The sequence below is a fragment of the Homo sapiens genome, chromosome 5 (assembly GCF_000001405.40).
Source record: "Homo sapiens chromosome 5, GRCh38.p14 Primary Assembly".
NCBI lineage: Eukaryota > Metazoa > Chordata > Mammalia > Primates > Hominidae > Homo > Homo sapiens.
Window position 1 is genome coordinate 72,449,416 of NC_000005.10, and position 17,992 is coordinate 72,467,407.

A 17,992-nucleotide genomic window follows, 5' to 3' on the forward strand; every position below is an offset into this window, starting at 1 on the left:
TAGAGATGGGGATCTCTGGCCATGTTGGCCAGGCCGGTCCCAAACTCCTGACCTCAAGTGATCCATCCGCCTCAGCCTCCCAAAGTGCTGGGATTACAGGGGTAAGCCACCATGCCAGGCCAAAAAGAAGCTTTGAACCTAGAGATTCTACATTAGGGATTTCCAGTCACGGGTCATTTTTAGAAAAAGCTTACCTCATTTGGATTGTGGGATGGTTCCTGGTTATTTGGAGTGAAGCTGCTGTTACAATTGCTGAGTATAACCAGTATTTGGTTCAGATATGTTCTCACTCAGGAGACTGCAACATGCATTAAAGCTTTGCCTGCTTTTTTATTTATTATCTGCCTAGTATTGGCGTGACACATCATAGTTCCTCAGTAAGCATCTGCTGAGTGAGGAAAGGGGTGGGAAACATAGCCACGGAAGAATTGATCAAAGGAAAAGCCATGAGTGGTTAAGGACAAGGCATGTAGCGGGAGAGAAGCTGAAGGCCAGAAGATCAATTAGGCTACTGCACTAGTCCAGGCATGAACGGGGTCTGGTGGTCCTATAGGCCAGAAAGAGGTCATTGAAAAGAAGTGACAAGCACCTTCTGCACTTGGCTCGCATGATGAGAGAAATTCTTTCAGTTATTATCTGTGGTTGCTGAAGCCTTAGAAACTGAACTGGTCTGAGAAGGTTTTGGAAAGGGGATGGAATTTTAGCCTAACTGTGAAAAATGTGTAGAGTGCAGTTTGTTGTACACAAAGATAAAGTCTCTTCATAAGATATTTTCAGACACTTCAGTCAACCTTACACCACAAGTAAGGTAACTACTATTGTGACAATGATCAAATTCTTGTTGCTGCCACACCTTCTGGGACCTTGGGGTACTGTAGACCTTGCAATTCACCTGCCCCAAGGTCCCATCTATTTCCCTTCCCCAACTCCATGCACAGGGGTGAGCGCCTGGTAAAATGGTGTCTGGGCTCTAAACAGCATCCCAGGGAGTCTCCAATGAGCTGACTTCCTTTTCTTTGCAGCCAACTCAGTATCAAGCACAGGACTACACATATGGTACACTTCTGAATGCCTAAGTCTTTGGTTGGGGAAATAAACAAGTCAGAGAAATATCATTACTTCATGCAAAATTCTAAAAAGCAGCCATCACCAGCTCTCATCCTTTTCCCACAAAACCTATTAGTTTTCAAACTAAACTCCTCAGTGGCAGAAGGATAGAGCCAATTAACACAGGACCTGAGATACTCGGGCTCCATTCACACCTGGGCGGTAGGTACTTAGCTTCTTCCTCTCAGCCTCTGACCTTCCACCAAGCCTTTAGGTTCTTATCCAGAACACTTGGCCTTCTCATCTTTCACAGAAGATTGTCCTCATCTGAAAACACCCAAGTGTATGGAGATATTTTATGTCTGTGAAACTCAAGAGAGAAACCTCTCACACACTGTTAGTAAAGAGAGGCCAGAGAAAGAGGATGGGGCCAGTGAATCACAGTGCTCTTGGGTGGAGCCTGAGATGTGAGCCCCAAGCAGAATTGTCACACTAGGGGATGGGAGTTAGACGAGAGGGAGGAGGAATGGATAGGAAGGACCACCAAATCTCTAGGTTCTTCTCCAGAGAAAAGCAGCCATTGAAGTCAAGGTCTCCTTAAATCATGTGATGTGAAGCTAAGAGTGTGCCCAAGCAGGACCTGCTGAATCATCTCTGCCAAGGTCTGTGGAGATGAAAATAGGAGTGGATGTTGGTTCAGGAAGCCGCTGGAGTGGTGAGGACTCTGATCTCATTGCGCAGGTGCGCATCTCCACCAGCGTGCCCCCGCTTGACCTCTCGGTCACTCCAAGGAACACCGTCAGTGTGTCTTGACATGAAATCTCAGCTTCTCCATCCACCCGCTTTTTAAGATGGAGGTAGACTTCAAAATTTAATAAAAAATGGAAAAAAATATTTTAAAGTGCCCTTTAAACGTGGGTTGCATGGGTTATTAGGCTTTGAGATGTCAGAGTAGTGAGAGGAGGTGTAGACACAGAAGGACAGAGAGCTTGCTCCATTTTCTCTTCTGTATAATGTTGATAATAGTCATTGTTTCCTATGAAGGTTGTTGTGAGGATCAAGTGAGATAATTCACAAGAAGGACTTGGCAAATAGTAAGAGCTCAATAAATATTAGCTCTTTTTACTATCATTATGGTGTATATAGTAGATTCTTTTACATTCCAGAAATGGAAAGCTCTTTGAAGATGAGGGGAATATTAAAGGAAGAGCCAAATGAGGAATCTGCTTAGTAAATATACCCACCAGGCTACTTGGAGTGTAGTAGAAATGCAAGCGGTTGTGCCTGCCCCAGGTCTAGGAAATGAGGATGGAAAAAGAGGCTTCATCCAAGGTTCAGGGCTGGGAGAGGGCCGAGTTATTTGGCTCCCCCATCCTTAGTCTGCCCTTTGAACAGCTGACGGATGCCTGTGTGCTCCGGGCCTCCTCGTCCCGGCCTCCTGGCACCCTTCTCCTCCCTGGTCCAGAGCCTGGAGGCACCTCAGGCACTTGCCATGAACCCCAGTGGCCATGCTGACAGCCATGGAGAAGTCGGCTGTGGCCAGAGACAGGGTGATAGCAGTGGGCAGCCACTGGGCTGGGGCCAGAAGCAGCACACCGCCTCGCCCCAGCCAGCCTGGTGTGAGCTTTAAAAATGAGATGCACCAGGAAGCCTGTGTTTTCCTATTCAGAGAGAAGAGGTCAGAGAGCTGTGGCCTGCAGCTGAGGAGAATGGCCTCCGTGAAACTGCCCTTCCCGCACATTCTTCTCCCTCTCTCTCTTTTAATAAGAAGGGTGTTCCTTTCCTCAAAGGGAGAGAGAGGGAGGGAGGGAGAGAGAGACTGTAAACTGTCCAAAAGGACCGTGAGAAAACAGGAAGCTTTGAAAAGTACAAGAGAAAGCAAGATGAAATCTATTTGCAGGCGGTCCCCTGGGGACATGTGAGGCATTGTTAAGCAGGCAGTTCATACGGCTATATCCTTCCTTCTGCTGAGGAGGGCTTTGCTGCCAAAAGGCTGCTATCTGGTCACTGCCTTAACCCCCTCCATGCCAGCCTGAAAACTCTGACCCCAAACACTGGGCCCCTCAAAGCCCCCCATCTGGTTTCTTCCTTCCTGGAGCGTCAAAGAAAGTGAGGGGAAAATGGAGCCAGTTTGACAACAGTGGTGGAACCCCTCTGCAGGGAGATCTCATCCCTATTCTGACAGCTCTGCCCTCTGGCCTTCAGCCTTCTGCTACAGACAAGGTTTCAGATGACCTGGTGATTCATAACTTAGGCAGCTGCCGGCTTCACCCATCTCAAAAGAGAATTTGTCCCGGAAATTCTGGATGGCTGTTTTTCCTGGACAGGTTTCCCGAAGACGGCAGCTGGTTCTTTGCTGTTATGGAGTTTGGCCACTACAAGGATAGGCTCCAAATCAACCCCTGTGTGCTTACCCAGAATCTGGGAAGCATATTTCTGAAAAGTGGCTTAAGTCTACAGGCGCAGATCTCTGGAAAAACTCCAGCTGGCTCCAAGAAGCACGAGTCCAAAAGTCCAGCCAACAGCAAAAGAGCCGAGAAGGGCAGTAACTTTTTTATAAGGAAAAAAAGAAAAGAAACATGGAATGGAAACCTTTCCTCTCCTCTAATTTTCCATCCTATTGTTAATGCCTAATCCCACAGTGAGTGAACATTTCTGCGTGCTAGGGACAGCTGTTTCCACTGAGCACTGGGCTGGAGAAGATCAGTTCATATTGAGACAGGAGGAAGGATGCATGTTAAGAAGGAATTTTAATGGTGAGAATCCCCCAAAATTAGACTCTGTTACTAAAAGCCTCTTCCTTGTTGTGAGTTTTTGGGTAAAGGAGAGAGAACGAAGACTGCCTCTTCTGCCCAGCCACGTCAATCACAAGACATGAAGTGGATGGCTCTTCCCTGTTATGGCAACAAAACACAAGTTCAGTTGCCTGGCTTGTACTCCAACACCACGGAGCAGCCAGCCAGCCATGTCTCTCAGATGGCTGTGAACTGCATTGCAATGGGCAAATGGCCCTCCATCCCTCTGTCAACTCCCAAATCCCCAACAACCTTCAACCAAGGCCAAATTTCCAAGAATCTAGCACAGCATAGTTGGGAAGCAAGAACCACAGGACAGCATCTTGAGATGGCTCACGCCACCATGTGACCTGGAGCTAGTTTACAAATGCAAAGAGCCTTGTGACATAATCTGTAAACCCAGACATGCTCTGCAAGTCTGTTGAAATGAAGAAGGGCAATGGTACAAAGAGGGCACCCAGCAGGGTGACACTGATGGGAGATGGGGACAGGGAGAGGAAGACCCTGACTGTATGCTTTGAGCACTGTCTCAGAGACAGAGGGCTGTGAGTCAAGGTGGCTGACACTCATTCTTGTTTCACAAATGGCTAAGAATGGAGAAGGCCCACCTTCTCCATTGCTTCACAAGAACGCCCTTTCACATCCAATTCTTTTTGTCTGATGATAGATGACACTCTCTAGGGAGCCTCCTGACCTCTAGTGAGGTCTCCTGAGAGGACTTACCAACAGGAAGAAGCAACCTTTGCAAATGACCAGTCCAATTCCTGTGCCAGGCCCATCTCTCCCATTGTAAAATATAAGCTGTGCATTGTTTCAAAGCTGGCATTCTACTTTATAAACCACTCTCTTATGGGTTGTGATGGTGTGGACCAGACATGGAGCCTCATCTAACCTCAAGAAATGGGTAAAATAGTTTCTGAACTGTAAAGCTGAGCATCCAACATCTTTTGGACCATGTACATGCACCATCATTGGAGTGGAGCAGGAAGGAGCCATCGTTCATGAAAGGAGGCCCTGAACATCAAGCTGGGATTGCTCATTGCATCAAAGGCCCAGGTTCCATAGCACCTTGCAGTTTCTTGTGCACTAATACTAGAGAGAACCCTCTAGATCCTCAGATACTACCTGGTCCAAGAAGTCCTCCAAGCCCCTGAGGGTAGAGAAGCAGAAATGCCTTTGTACCCTCAAACCACACACAACCTACACTGGCTTTGCCCCCTGACCTAACCCTATATTTCAGGAACGTTTTCTGCCTGGTTTTACCACTGCTACTGGACCAGAATTGATGAGGTGGAGGTAGGAGATGGCTGAACTTGACAGATGTGAATTTTCAGGGGATTATAAACTATGTTAATGGCTCTCTTCATATTTTAGCAACTTGACTCCACCACTATCAGTTGATAAGATTAAAAATTCAGTTAATGCTTGAAGCCCAAGAGTAAACTCAACACAAGGAATGAAGAATGGCAAAGAGACCTGCTTGAACCTCCATTGTAGGAGACAGTAAACCCTTTGCAAGAAGAAACAGCTCTGTGAAATGTGAAGTGCTCTGGGGGCTCAGTGAAGTGGGAAGGAAATGAAAGAAGTCCCTAAAGAGAGAGAGAAGAGGAGGCCGTGGAGTCCATCGCTGCATGCAGCCAAGGCCTCACTTCATGGGCATACAACACAAGGTCCCATAGTCAGAAAGCTCCTGAGTTTGGCTTAATGCTCTGCTTCCATCATCTTTAACTCCTGGTAATGTTTGAACAAGGAGCCTTGCATTTCCATTTTGCATTGAGTCCTGAAAAATATGTGGCCTGTGCTGCATGAAGCTGATTCTTGCTTTAGACGGATGTAAATTGACTTTCGAACCACTGGGAATATGAAGAAAAGGAGGGGAAACAGAAGTGGGTGGCAGGAAAAGGGCTGGAGGGAGAAGCCTCCCTCTCCCACCTCTGGACAATGCCCACACAGGTCTAGGGAAGCTCTGGTGTCTGACCCCTCACCCCTTCCAAGAGTTGCCAACACAGGAAAGAAGTCAGCTTCACAGGGGATTCCTTCAAGTGGGGCCACACTGCAGAGGTATTAAAGCAGGAACAGTCCCTGGAAACAGGGAACCCCACTTCAGGAATATAGATCAGCAGAGTATCATTTGAACCCGATTAGGTACCCAGTAGCAGAGAGAAAAAACCTCCATTTCAAACAGAAGGGCTGTAACGATATCTGAATGTGGTAATTTCCCTCTTCTTCCCCCTCAGCCTTCTTCATGACCGGATGACACTTGGCCAGTACATCACTCGGATTAAACCCAGTCATGGCCAATGCTCTCTCCTCATTTTAGAAGTAGAGAGAGGAAACACTCTTGTGGGGTGGGGACAGCCTCGGGGAGCCGGAGCATTTCTGAGTAATGCCCGTCAGCGCCTTGGGTTTTACAAATCTCCAGCTCACACGTTTTCTCGGCTGATGAAATACAAACCCAACCAAATTAGTCTAACAGATATTTTAACAAAGATGCTCCATCCCTGTGCTACATGGCACTTAGCAATAGGTGAAAGGCACTTGAAGTGACTGTGCTCGCAGTTATTCCACAGCCCCAGCAAGCATTTCTGAGGGCCTCTGAGGGGCTAGCTTTGGAATCCCTCTCACCGTCTCTAGGAGGCCTGCCCTCAAACTAAACATATGGCTCAGCCCAAGTGTCAAGAGGCAAGGAGAGGAGAGGAGGTGGCGGTGGGTGGGGGGGAAGCTGTGCTAGAAGCTTCTCTGACTCTTTTCTATGTCCTGCTCATTGCCTTGTAAGGAGAAGAAGGCTAAACTTGCCTTCTCCTCTCTAGAACAAAGGCTCTCCACATTACTTGCATCCTTTAACAGCCTCCTTCTCCAAAAGGGCCTTCCACCCTCAGACCTTTCCCTAGTGCCTGGCTCTACCCCTGGGCATGGATGCCACAGTGAGACAAATAGGGCAGGCTCCTTAGGGACCTCCAGCCTGGCATGATGTAAGTGGGGCGTGCAGAGAGGGATAGAGTGGCAGATGGGACCTGGGGTTGGCCACGGACCTACTCTGAGCCCCCGTAGCCCCACTGATGAAACAGAGTAGAAGGCTCCCTGGGGACCCTTTCCCATCAGGCATTTGCACAACCCTCTGGTTCCTCTCTAGTCCCACTGCCCACCTTGCATTTGAAAGGCTTCACGTCAGAGTGGACGATCATGTGTGCCTTGAGGGTCTGCTTCTGCACGAAGCTCTTGTAGCAGAGGTGACACTGGTAGGCGCGGATGTTGGTGTGGATCAGCACGTGTCGCTTCATGTTGGCCAGCAGGGTGAACTCCCGCCCACAAATCCCACACTTATGCTCCTTCACACCCTGCAGGGAGGCAAGATTCAGAAAAGTGGTGATTGACAGGTAACATGCTTTCATCAGGATCATAGGCTTCATTTTCCTCTCTGCCACATAAATCCACAAAGAGCTTGGTGATAGATGTTGAGTTTCAAATGGTGTAGCTTCAGCCTTGTTAAATTACTATTTTCTTGAAAAGTGTTGATTATATAACCTTTTTTTTCCTTCTGAAAACCATAAACTAGCCAGACTATTAGAGGAAAAGAAAGCTCTTGCTTTTGTTGTTCCAGCTGCTGCTGGGGTTAAGTCTCCAGTGATAGTTCTTGAGGATTAACAGGCTTTTAGTAAGAGCACTATGGGCTGATATGCAATATGAGTCCATAATCCAGCTTTCATGATAATGAAAAAAAAATCTTCCAAAATGATATTATCATTTCCCTTATGGAAACCAATGTTCTCTTGGGTTCTCATTAATGGACTTGAAAATCCCAGAACAACTTATATCCACACTGCAGTAAATTACAACTTAAATTACAACTTGATAATCACCCTCTCAAGTTGGTCCCCTGGGTTCCCACAGGCCACACTGACCTCCACAATGACATGGTTATGGAGCCTTCCCTAAGCCAGCTCCTTCTTATAAAGAAATTTGGCAAGAGGTAGCTTTCTGAATTAAGGAACAGGACAGGAGGCTTTCTTGTTTCCTTGCTGTGCATGAAGGTGTGTTTGAACCAAGGCCCTTAATTGAGAGCATTTCCAGGGACTCACAGCTTGAGCCGGGCATTCACTAATCCTGACTATCCATTGCTTCCCCACAAAGGCCTTTGCAAGAGGTCTTGACCCTGAATGACTTTTGGGAAGAAAAATTTAGAGAACCAGGGCACTAAACTGAAGGTTATCATAGGATTAGAACAAGTTACTTAGTTAACAACTGTACCTGATGAAATCCATATTGCCTGGTATTCATAGTGGCTGAAGGAGGGAAGGAGGGATTCCAAGCTCATCTCTGACTCTCTCTGTCTATGTTTCCATTTCTTTACTTTGAGGCATGGTAAGAAAGAACCACTCTGCAGTTCTGGTGGGCCCATGGTACTAAATGGTGGATTCAGGTCTCTGCCCAGCTGTTTACTGGCTGTAAAACCTTAGATGAGTCGTGTGGCCTTTTTTAGTGAAGGCTTCTCATCACAAGATGAAGTGGTGGGTCATGAGAACCCTGGGGTTCTTTCTAACTCAAGCACTGTCTAGTCCAGATGATGGTACATGAGTATGCATTTATGTTAATAAGGAGACCTAGAAATCAACCTCCTTTAGAAATTAAATTTTGATTCTGCCTATGGAGATGAATCTTTAAAATGTAGTGCATATTCAAACACTGAGTTTAAGATTATAAAATTAATGAAAAACATTTTCTTAATGGATTTTAAATTTTATTTTAGCATCTTTCTTTTTTTTTTTTTTTTTTTTTTGAGACGGAATCTCACTCTGTTGCCCAGGCTGGAGTGCAGTGGCGTGGTCTCGGCTCACTGCAAGCTCCGCCTCCTGGGTTCACGCCATTCTCCTGCCTCAGCCTTCCGAGTAGCTGGAACTACAGGTACCCGCCACCATGCCCGGCTAATTTTTTGTATTTTTAGTAGAGACGGGGTTTCACCGTGTTAGCCAGGATGGTCTCGATCTCCTGACCTTGTGATCCGCCCGTCTCGGCCTCCCAAAGTGCTGGGATTACAGGCGTGAGCCACCGCGCCCGGCCAGCATCTTTCTTCTCTCAAGATTTTCTCTGGGCTTGGATCTGATCCATTTGTCCTGAAACCAAGGAGACGTTTCTGCTTATCACTGTTTTCAGAATTCTTTAAAGAGAATTCTGTGTCCAAAGTAAGATTCACCTGTGGGCTGGCCTAGAATGCAAATGAGCAGGAGCCTGGACACAACTTTAAGGCAACAAAGGAAGCTGTTGTCTCTCTGATAGGATCAGTGGAATCACAGAGTCGGAGCCTGTCAGGTGGTCAGGGGTGCGAACAGGGAAGCAGGTGGAAAAGAGGAAGTGTTCACTGTAGAGTGGCCAAGGCACAGGTGCCTGTGTCAGAGATTCCTGAGTGACCTCCCATGCCTCAGTGTCTTCAACTGCAGATCGGGAGTAGCTCTTAGAGTTGTTGAGAAGTAAATGAGGATTAAATGAAGAGTGAAACACCTGTCATATAGCAAGTGTTCAACAAATACTACCTCTCACTGTTTGCTGACACCTCTCATTAAAGTGTATTTTGTTTTAATTAAAATTCAAATGAAACTTATTTCAGACACCAGGCTGTTTCTCCCATTTTGACTTCATTTTCTACCATCTTACAGGATCTTCATATGCTCTAAAATGCACTTTTGATTCCTTTCCCACATATAAAGGAGCCCCTGAAGTTAGCGAATGGTCCCCTTTACGGCTGAATCCCAGTCTGGGTCCTTTGTTGATGGTTCCTGCACTTGGCAGGCGACTCCCCTCTGGATAGTATCTACAGGTACCTTTTGTAGGGCAGGAGCTGTTTGTGCAGAGCCCACAAGGCAGCCACACATTTCATCTCTGTGGCAGAGCCAGAAAATACCCTGTGTTTTGTCCTAACCTAAGAAGTGAAACGTATTATAGCACAGCAGAAACATTATCTTGGCTGGGCAAAGTCCTCTCCTGACCTTTCAGAATTAAAGAATGCTTTAGAAACTCTGGCTTGCTAGAAGTCTTTCCTGCCAAGAAAACCACTTGAGGTTAAGGGTGTGAGAGTGGGAGTCAGTGGGGGCAAAACTCCCTCTCGGAGGCTCAGAGCAGGTTCCATACTTTAGCTGGGGTAAGATTTCAGGAACACCACTAGGGCCTTGTTTTAGTTCAGCCTGAATGACTCCAGGGCTATGGTTGCAAACTGGGCTGAACTCAGACTCTTGGGCCTGTATTTCCCCTTGAAGACCTGAGCACAGAGAAGATCAAACAAAACCAAACAGAGAAGGATGCTTTCTCATGCCTCCTACAATGTAAACCACAGGGCACTTCACCCAGCTAGGCACGGGTCCAACGCAGGGAGGTATAGGCCCTGCCGGCCTCAGCCAAGCTCTGCTTCCCTTGGAGAACTTGCATATGAAGCAGGTCTCACAGTTGAGGGAGAAAACAATCCAAAAAGTTTTCCACTGCTTCAACAGTACAAGACGAAGAGAATTATCCAGAAGGTGCTCCCTGGCACATCCCAGGCACAGAGCTGATCTAGGGTCTGATGACTTACTCATGCTAGTGCCTTGGATGAAGTTTCTAGAAACCGAATCTGCAAGATTCTTGGAGGCTAGGGAGCATCCTTCCTCATCTCCTCTGCAAATGTCTGCATTATTTATTTCTAGGCCTACCTTAGAGTCTAGAAGGCTGCTGGGGCAAAGGGCTTGGTCGAGAATCGTTCTCTCTTATTTAAACGTGAGGAAGGACCTCAGGGCTCGGCCAAGGGACCGCTTGTCCGGGGTTGCCCACCTCCTCGGGGTAAGGTGCAGAGCGGCACAGGCGTCCTGCTCCCCAGTGCTCTGCTCAGGGCCCCGCTCCTCTTCCCAAGGCCCCGTCCGCCCCACCAGAGGCCCCGCAGTACCTTGTGGGTGAGGGAGTGCTGCTTGAGGTGGTGCGGCTGCACAAACTCCATGCCACACTCTGAGCAGATGTAGGGCCGGATGTCCTTGTGCTTCATCATGTGGTTCTGCAGCTGGCTCGGGTACTGGAAGGTCTTGTCGCACTCGGAGCAGTTGTACTGGATGGGGCCCCGGTGCGTGGTGAGGTGTCTCTTCAGCTGGGCCAAGGTGGGGAAGTCGAGGCCGCACTCCACACAGATGTTCTCGCGCCCACTGGCGTGCTTGGCTTCGTGGGCCTTGAGCTCGCTGGGGTAGGCAAAGCCGCGGCCGCACACGCGGCAGTTGTGCGGCTTCACCTCGCTGTGCTGCATCATGTGGCGCTTCAGGTGGCTGGTCTGGGTGAAGGCCTTGTGGCACACCTGGCACTTGTGGGGCCGCGTGCCCTGGTGGGTCAGCATGTGGGTATGCAGGTGGCTGAGCTGCTTGAAGAGCTTCCCGCAGTGCGTGCACGCGTGCGGCTTGATCCCACTGTGGCCCAGGATGTGGGTGACCAGGTTGTACTTGGAGGTGTAGGACTTCTCGCAGGTGGGGCACTGCCAGCGCTTCTGCGAGCCGCCCACGTCCACGTAGTAGCTGTCATCGATCTGCACGTTCACGTCCACCCTCTCCACCTTCTGCTTGGTCTCCTCGCTCTCCTGGGGCTCGGCTTTCCGGGGCAGCAGAGGTTCCGGGGGCTGCTTGGGCAGGAAGGTGTGCCGGCTGAAGGGGAAGGGCGAGGACGAGGGCACGAAGAAGGGGAACATGAGGCCCGGGTGGACTTTGGGGTAGTAGGGGTAGGGCGTGGGCAGGAATGGAGTGGGCGTTGGCTGGGGCCACACGGCGCTGGGCTTAATGGGTTCCTGCTTGACGGGCTTGCCCCCAAAGTGTTCCAGGCTGCGGTAGAATTGGAAGCCCACGTTGCACAGGTCGATCATCTGAGAGTCATACTTGGGGCGCGGGGGCTGCGGGAACAGCAAAGGGAGGTTGGGAAGGCCGTGGTTTTTGTTCTCCTCTGAGTGGAGGGCGAGGGTGACTTCTTCTGCAGGGTGGTTATAGGGCATCTTTGTGGGCATGCTCTTCCGTTTCCTAGACCCTGCTCCTTCGAAGACCCCGGGGAACCCATCTAGGTCTCCTGGGGGAGGTTCATACCGAAACTGGGAAAATGGCCCTCGGAGAGCTTCCGGGAAGGGGTGTCTTTGGGGAGCCTTTCCCCGAGAAGCCACTGGCTGCAGGCAGTGGGGAAAGGAGGGGGTCTTCTTCACAGCCAAGTCGAAATGCACATCCTCGTCTTTGATCATCTTCATTTCCTTCTGCATCCTTGGCAATTTTCCTTTAAAGAGAAAGAAACTTGTGTGTTTTGGTTTGGTTTTGTTTAAAATTCTCTTTTTCCTTAAGGATTATGGCTATTTATCAGTACTAATTTATGAAGAGTAGTACTTGCTTAATATGGACCCTCATTTATCCTAGGGCTGTTCAAAATATCGCTTTTCTTTCTCCTTGCAAACCCAGTTATCAATATGGATAGCACTGGCCTCTTGGGGTGACCCTAGGGCTGAATCAAATTGGGCTCCAGTGTAAATCCAGCCACAAAACCACAAGGGGTGATGGTAGCAAGGGAAGTGGACTAGTTTGGGAAGAAACCTGAGAACTCATCTGGCCATTGTCCCCATTTAAGATCAGGGTACCAAAGTCCAGATAAATGAAATGACATTCTCAAGTTACATAGGTACTCACTGAAGGAGTGAGCACTAGACCCATTCTGCTGCAGCTTTTCAATCTGAGTTGTAATTACATCTACTAATGGTGATTGGAAAGTGACTTTTAGGGTCTTTTCTTTGTGTAAGGAAACCAATTTTCACTGCTACTCCCTTGCTTGGGCCTTTGCTGCTGGAAAATGAGGATATTCAAAGCCTCATAGGAGAAGGGATGTTAATGCTTAACTCAGATCTAATCGTTTCTGAGTATCCACTCTGAGTAAGGTGTGCTACTAAGGCATAGGGAGTGAATGACATAAACATGATTTTAAAAAGCATATTGAGTAGCTCAATGTTATAAAGTCATCCTGGCAATGTACACATTCCACTCTTAAACCTGAAGCAAGCTGGAATGAAATATTCCTTTATTATGTGAAATAAAGCCGCACATGGGTCTCTCCTTTCAGACAGGTGTCAAAGTAAGGGGCAGGCTTGGTGACTCCTGTGGTGCCTGACATGTCCCCTGCTGACACAGCCAGTTACTGTGTCCTGAGACATAGGCATGTCTGAAAGAGCTGGTGGTGGGACTAGAGTCTGAACAAGGGGCAGTGTTTTTCACGTCTCCTTGCCAGTTTTCTTTCTTTCTTTCTTTCTTTCTTTCTTTCTTTCTTTCTTTTTTTTTTTTTTTGGAGATGGAGTCTGGCTCTGTTGCCCAGGCTGAAGTGCAGTCCAGTGGCACAATCTTAGCTTACTGCAATATCCGCCTCCTGGGTTCAAGTGACCCTTGTGCCTCAGCCTCCTGAGTAGCTGAGATTACAGGTGTGCGCCACCACGCCCTGTTAATCTTTGTGTTTTTAGTAGAGACGGGGTTTCACCATGTTGGCCAGGCTGGTCTTGAACTCCCGATCTCAAGTGATCCACCCGCCTCGGCCTCCCACAGTTGTGGGATTACAGGCGTGAGCCACTGCACCCATCCTTGCCAGTTTTCTGTCTTCTTCATATGGATACTGACAGAATGAACCAAGTGCTAACTCCACATTTCCAGTAAGGGTCAGTTCTACCCAAGTCCTCTGAGTTTGAGTGGGATCAATCCCTTTTGCTCATCAGATGCTCCCATGGAGCCAGCTGGCTTGGCCAGGTGTAAGGTCTGATGTAGGGCCACTGGAGATAGGGCTGACATAGAGTCTTAGACTAACTCAGGGCTCTAGCCCTTGGGATTGTCTACAAACAAGGCAATATGGGGTGAAGGTCCCAGGGCTGAGAGGGCCAACAGTTTTCAGTGATTTTCTATGGTCCTTGGCGAGTCGGATACAGCTTTTACAATGATCCAGCTGTTCTTAAATTCTTAAATGGCATGTGTGTCTTTTTGGGAGGCTTGAGAGCTGCAGTACAATTAAAACAAAAATGAGCCTTTTTTTGTTTGGTTACCTAGTCTATATACAGACAATCCAATGAGGAAAAAATATGTGCCTTATTATTTAACTATCTGGGCATTATTTAAAGCTGGACAGATAACTAAAAAAATAATGCTTAATATTTGCTTTGTGTTTATGTGAGTGGAAAGATAGCCCTGGCTTGTCTTTCTTACCGTGGGTTTGGGGCTTAGTAATTATGAGCAAGCTCTTGTATGTCCAGCAAATGGTAGGCCCAGCCTGTGTCTTAGCTTTGCTTCCTCCTAAAATTCTTATTGCAATGCTAGATCTTCTTCCACTGCTGCCTCAGGGGCCAGGCAATTGTAGGAAGTGACAAGGGCAGTGGGAGAATGAAATGTCTAGCTTTATGAGACCCGGAGGGGTGTGGGTGGGTGAAATGAGAGTCGTGCTGCGCTATCAGAAAGGACCAGCAGGAGGATGGGGAAACAGAGGTTATTTGATGGTTTTTCTTGTTTACTAAATCATCTCTTAGCTTGCAATCCAGCAGGTCCTGATCTCTAGATTCACATAGAGTTATAGAGGGTGTGGCCCTGGCCCAAGAATTTGTTGCATCTATAAAAATAATTGACTTTCAACAAGACTAAACGTGTCCTGCTGAATTGGAGGGGAAAATGGAAGATCCTTTCCCTATTATTTCATTTGGAACACAGTCGGTTTATAACCCCTTGAGAGATAAATTTCTTTTAGTAGAAAGGCTGCTCAGATTGGAAAAGTCTCTTCCAGACTACAAGTACCTATGGCAAACCATTGCAGAGCCCATCGAGAAGCAAACTGGTTCTCTTTTTAAAAATTTCCTCTGATTAAAAGAGGCAATAATTCCTGGTACATGCTAGAGAGCTTGGGTTGAGAATTAGTGAAAAAGAAACATGTCAGAACCTGGGCCAAAACGTACTGAGTTTCCTGTGTATTTTATTATTAAGAAGTTACTTCTTCTTAAGTACATGGCTAATGACGTGTTGTATCTTTATACAACGTGCTGTAGCTTATACTGGAAAGCTACCGACTTGGAATGGAATGTTATCACTAATTGTGAAACGGAAGTTATTTCAGTCTATGCACGTTATTATTGCCTTTGTTTAATATTTTTGTTTTTAGTTATGACATAATCAACTAATTGTTTCCTTTTAATACATTAGGAGTTGTAATATACTCCTAATATAATGTTAATCTCAAAAGCATATTTATTTTCAGCATTTGAATTTTTGTCACCATTGTCCTAGTAAAGCAAAAAAAAAAATGTCGAACAGAGATGATGTGGCTATTTCTTTAAACATAAATGGCACAATTATGTCCCCAAATGCAGAGAATTTAGGTGCATACATTTTAATTTTTTACGTATCTTAATGTCATAATATTAATTTCCCCCAGTTTCTGTGTGTATGTATAATGATTCTCCCACCCTTAAAATAGTAGTCTGTGCACACTAGAATAAAATCAGAAACCCAGAAGGTTTTTTAAAAAGTAGGATCTCGGCTGGGCGCAATGGCTCATGCCTGTAATCCCAGCAATTTGGGAGGCTGAGGCAGGTGGATCATGAGGTCAGGAGTTTGAGACCAGCCTGGCCAAGATGGTGAAACCCGTCTCTATTAAAAATTCAAAAATTAGCCAGGTGTAGTGGCGGGTGCCTGTAATCCCAGCTACTTGGGAGGCTGAGGCAGGACGATTGCTTGAACCCAGGAGTCGGAGGTTGCAGTGAGCCGAGATTGCACCACTGCACTCTAGTCTGGGTGACAGAGCAAGACTCTGTCTAAAAAAAAGAAAAAGAAAAAGAAAAAAGTAGGATCTATCCAGGGAAATTTTTACAGACATTTAAAACAGCAGTCCCTTTCTGAATACAGATGTTTTTCTGCATAAAGACCTTAAGGATCATCACCGGTCCCTACAGAGGTCAAGGAGAACTAGATCTGATTTCCCCTTGGCCTGCTTGAAAGAGAGATCAGCTGTGGCTGCTTCTAGCTATTAATATCTCTGCCTTTGAGCACCAGCACCAGGTGATAAGGAGAAGCCCGAGGTGGTGAAACAACAACAACAACAAAATCTAGCAAACAAACCATCCTGGGGAAGGGGAGTGTTGAAGGGAAAAGCAGGGGAAGGATGTCTTCCTGAGGAGGTAATTTATCTTGAAATCAGTCAAGTTAAAATTCTGGGTGTCCTCAGCAAAAATATTAATAGATTCATAGAAAACCTCAATGTGTACCACCCACATGCTCCGCTCTATTTCTTAAAGTAGATCCACAGGCACCCATAAAACTGACAGGATTCTTATGCAGGAGGCAGGAGAGGCTTGGGGATGGCAATCTGGTTAAGAGACCCAAAACATGAGGAGGTGGGGCAAGCCCTCCTCTGAGTCATTGATCCATGGCTGCCTCCAGAGACCCTGGAGAAAACCAGCAGGTTGTAAGACAGTTCCCCACCAGAAAGAGTTGAAACAACGTGCAAAAAGAAAGAAGAACTGAAAATGTAAAAGCCGCTGCGTGTGGGATAATGGAAAGAGCGTTGGTTTGGAGCCTGAAAGTCTAGGTTTGAATGTTGGCTTTGTGCTAGCAGCTGTGGGAGAGTGAGTAAGTTACTTTTGAGGTTTGATTTTCTCATTCATGAAATGGGAGTTAGGATATCCTCATAGGGTTGTTGGAAATTTAGAATGTGTATGAGAAAGTATGTTAAACACTAGACAGTATGCTGCCCTTAAGGAGTGAGAAAGAGTGGACAGGAGAGGGGGACTGGGTTGTGATCAGTGGTTTGATGCTGTCTAACATCATGTCTGTTTTCTAAGCTGAAGCTCTTGATCATGACTCATGGCATCTGGGCCTCTGCCTTGCAAGTTAACCACGACTTTACCCATTTATCCTGAGTTGGTCTTGTCACAGCAGCGAAGGTGAACCACGCTCAAAAAGGCTATGGATAAGGCTAGGGTGAGTTTATTCATACCATGTGGCGATAAACCATGTAGTTAAAGAATACCTCCCCATCCCTTCTCTATGGCTGTTTTTGCTATTACGGAGATGTTTTCAAGCTTATATTAATAACAGTCTGCTTTGATGAATGGGGAGTTGAAGCAAAGGCTGATCTCATGAGCTATTTCAGCCAGTGTGTGAGAAACTGAAACATTGCCCCGAATCTAACATCAGAGGTCACCTTCCTAGGGACAGGAGGACCTGTTTGTCAAACCCAAAGTCTCAGACACTAGAATAGTGCTGGGTCAACACTAGCAAACCAGCTCTTGCAATTCTTGCTAAACTGTGAAGACAGGGACTGGATCTGTTTTATTCACTGCTGCATCTTCAATTCCCGGGATGGAACCTGGCTCAAAGTAGATGCCCAATCAACTGCTTTGGGATGAGAGAAGAAATGGGTGGTTCTTGTTTTTAAAGTCTCCCATGAAGTTTTAAAAGGTATAATTTTATCTTGTGTTATTTAGACTGTGGATGACTTTCGATATTTCCCTAATGAAATCATCAGCACATCTATAAGTTATTAGGTAGTTATGAAAAGAACTTGATACACACGCTTTGTGTGAGTTGTTGCGTACCCTCCTCATCCAAGGGCACTATTCTCTGAGCTAACTCTCAGATTCAGGGTAAGCCCTAAGGCCTGGTACACTAATGCTGGAGAGCCATTATCAAAGTGCCACCAAGTTCTGCAACCCAGCCAGAAAACAGATTCCTGAAAAGGCCGAAGGGCAGTCATGGGTAGAAAGAAAGACTCCTGGACTGAGAAAGGGAAATGTAAACCAAGAATGGGTAGTCACCCTTCACTCTTCCACCTAAAAAAATGTTTGGGAAATTAGTTGCAACCCATTCTTTGTACTAATAAGAGGGAGAAGACTTTAGAATAATCATACATTTTCATTGTTACGGTCAGACATTTTTCTAAGGTCCCTGGCTTTCTACAATGCATCACCCAAACCCAATAGGCTATAAATCAAGAAACAAATAGTTTGAAAAGGAAAATATTGGGTTCATCTGTGTTAAAGGAATCTGGGGCTCAGATAGCTTCCTTAACTGCTATTATCCATAAGAGTTGGTTATAGAAATAGGGAAATCGGGAATGAATGAATTTTAAAACCAAAACCAAAACCTCCTCTTTGACCCATAAGGACC

The 17,992-nt window shown here is 46.6% G+C and overlaps 1 protein-coding gene across 1 annotated transcript in view, besides 3 other annotated features; it reads right to left on the reverse strand.

The window, feature by feature from the left end:
- ZNF366 (zinc finger protein 366) overlaps nt 1–17,992 on the reverse strand; it is a 67,508-nt gene that overhangs the window by 9,513 nt on the left and 40,003 nt on the right. Inside the window, exons 2-3 of the mRNA NM_152625.3 lie at nt 10,750–12,095; nt 6,989–7,180 (exon numbers count right to left, since the gene is read on the reverse strand). Of these exons, the coding sequence (NP_689838.1) occupies nt 6,989–7,180; nt 10,750–12,081 (1,524 nt within the window). The 5' untranslated portion in view covers nt 12,082–12,095. The remainder of the gene's footprint in view (nt 1–6,988; nt 7,181–10,749; nt 12,096–17,992) is intronic.
- Nucleotides 10,098–10,247: an enhancer, noted in NCBI's record as "active region_22649". NCBI's record gives its function as "activates an Ori minimal core promoter by ATAC-STARR-seq in GM12878 lymphoblastoid cells {active_cell/tissue: GM12878}" and the evidence as "EXISTENCE:reporter gene assay evidence [ECO:0000049][PMID:35858748]".
- Nucleotides 15,896–15,955: an enhancer, noted in NCBI's record as "active region_22650". NCBI's record gives its function as "activates an Ori minimal core promoter by ATAC-STARR-seq in GM12878 lymphoblastoid cells {active_cell/tissue: GM12878}" and the evidence as "EXISTENCE:reporter gene assay evidence [ECO:0000049][PMID:35858748]".
- Nucleotides 16,326–16,645: an enhancer, noted in NCBI's record as "active region_22651". NCBI's record gives its function as "activates an Ori minimal core promoter by ATAC-STARR-seq in GM12878 lymphoblastoid cells {active_cell/tissue: GM12878}" and the evidence as "EXISTENCE:reporter gene assay evidence [ECO:0000049][PMID:35858748]".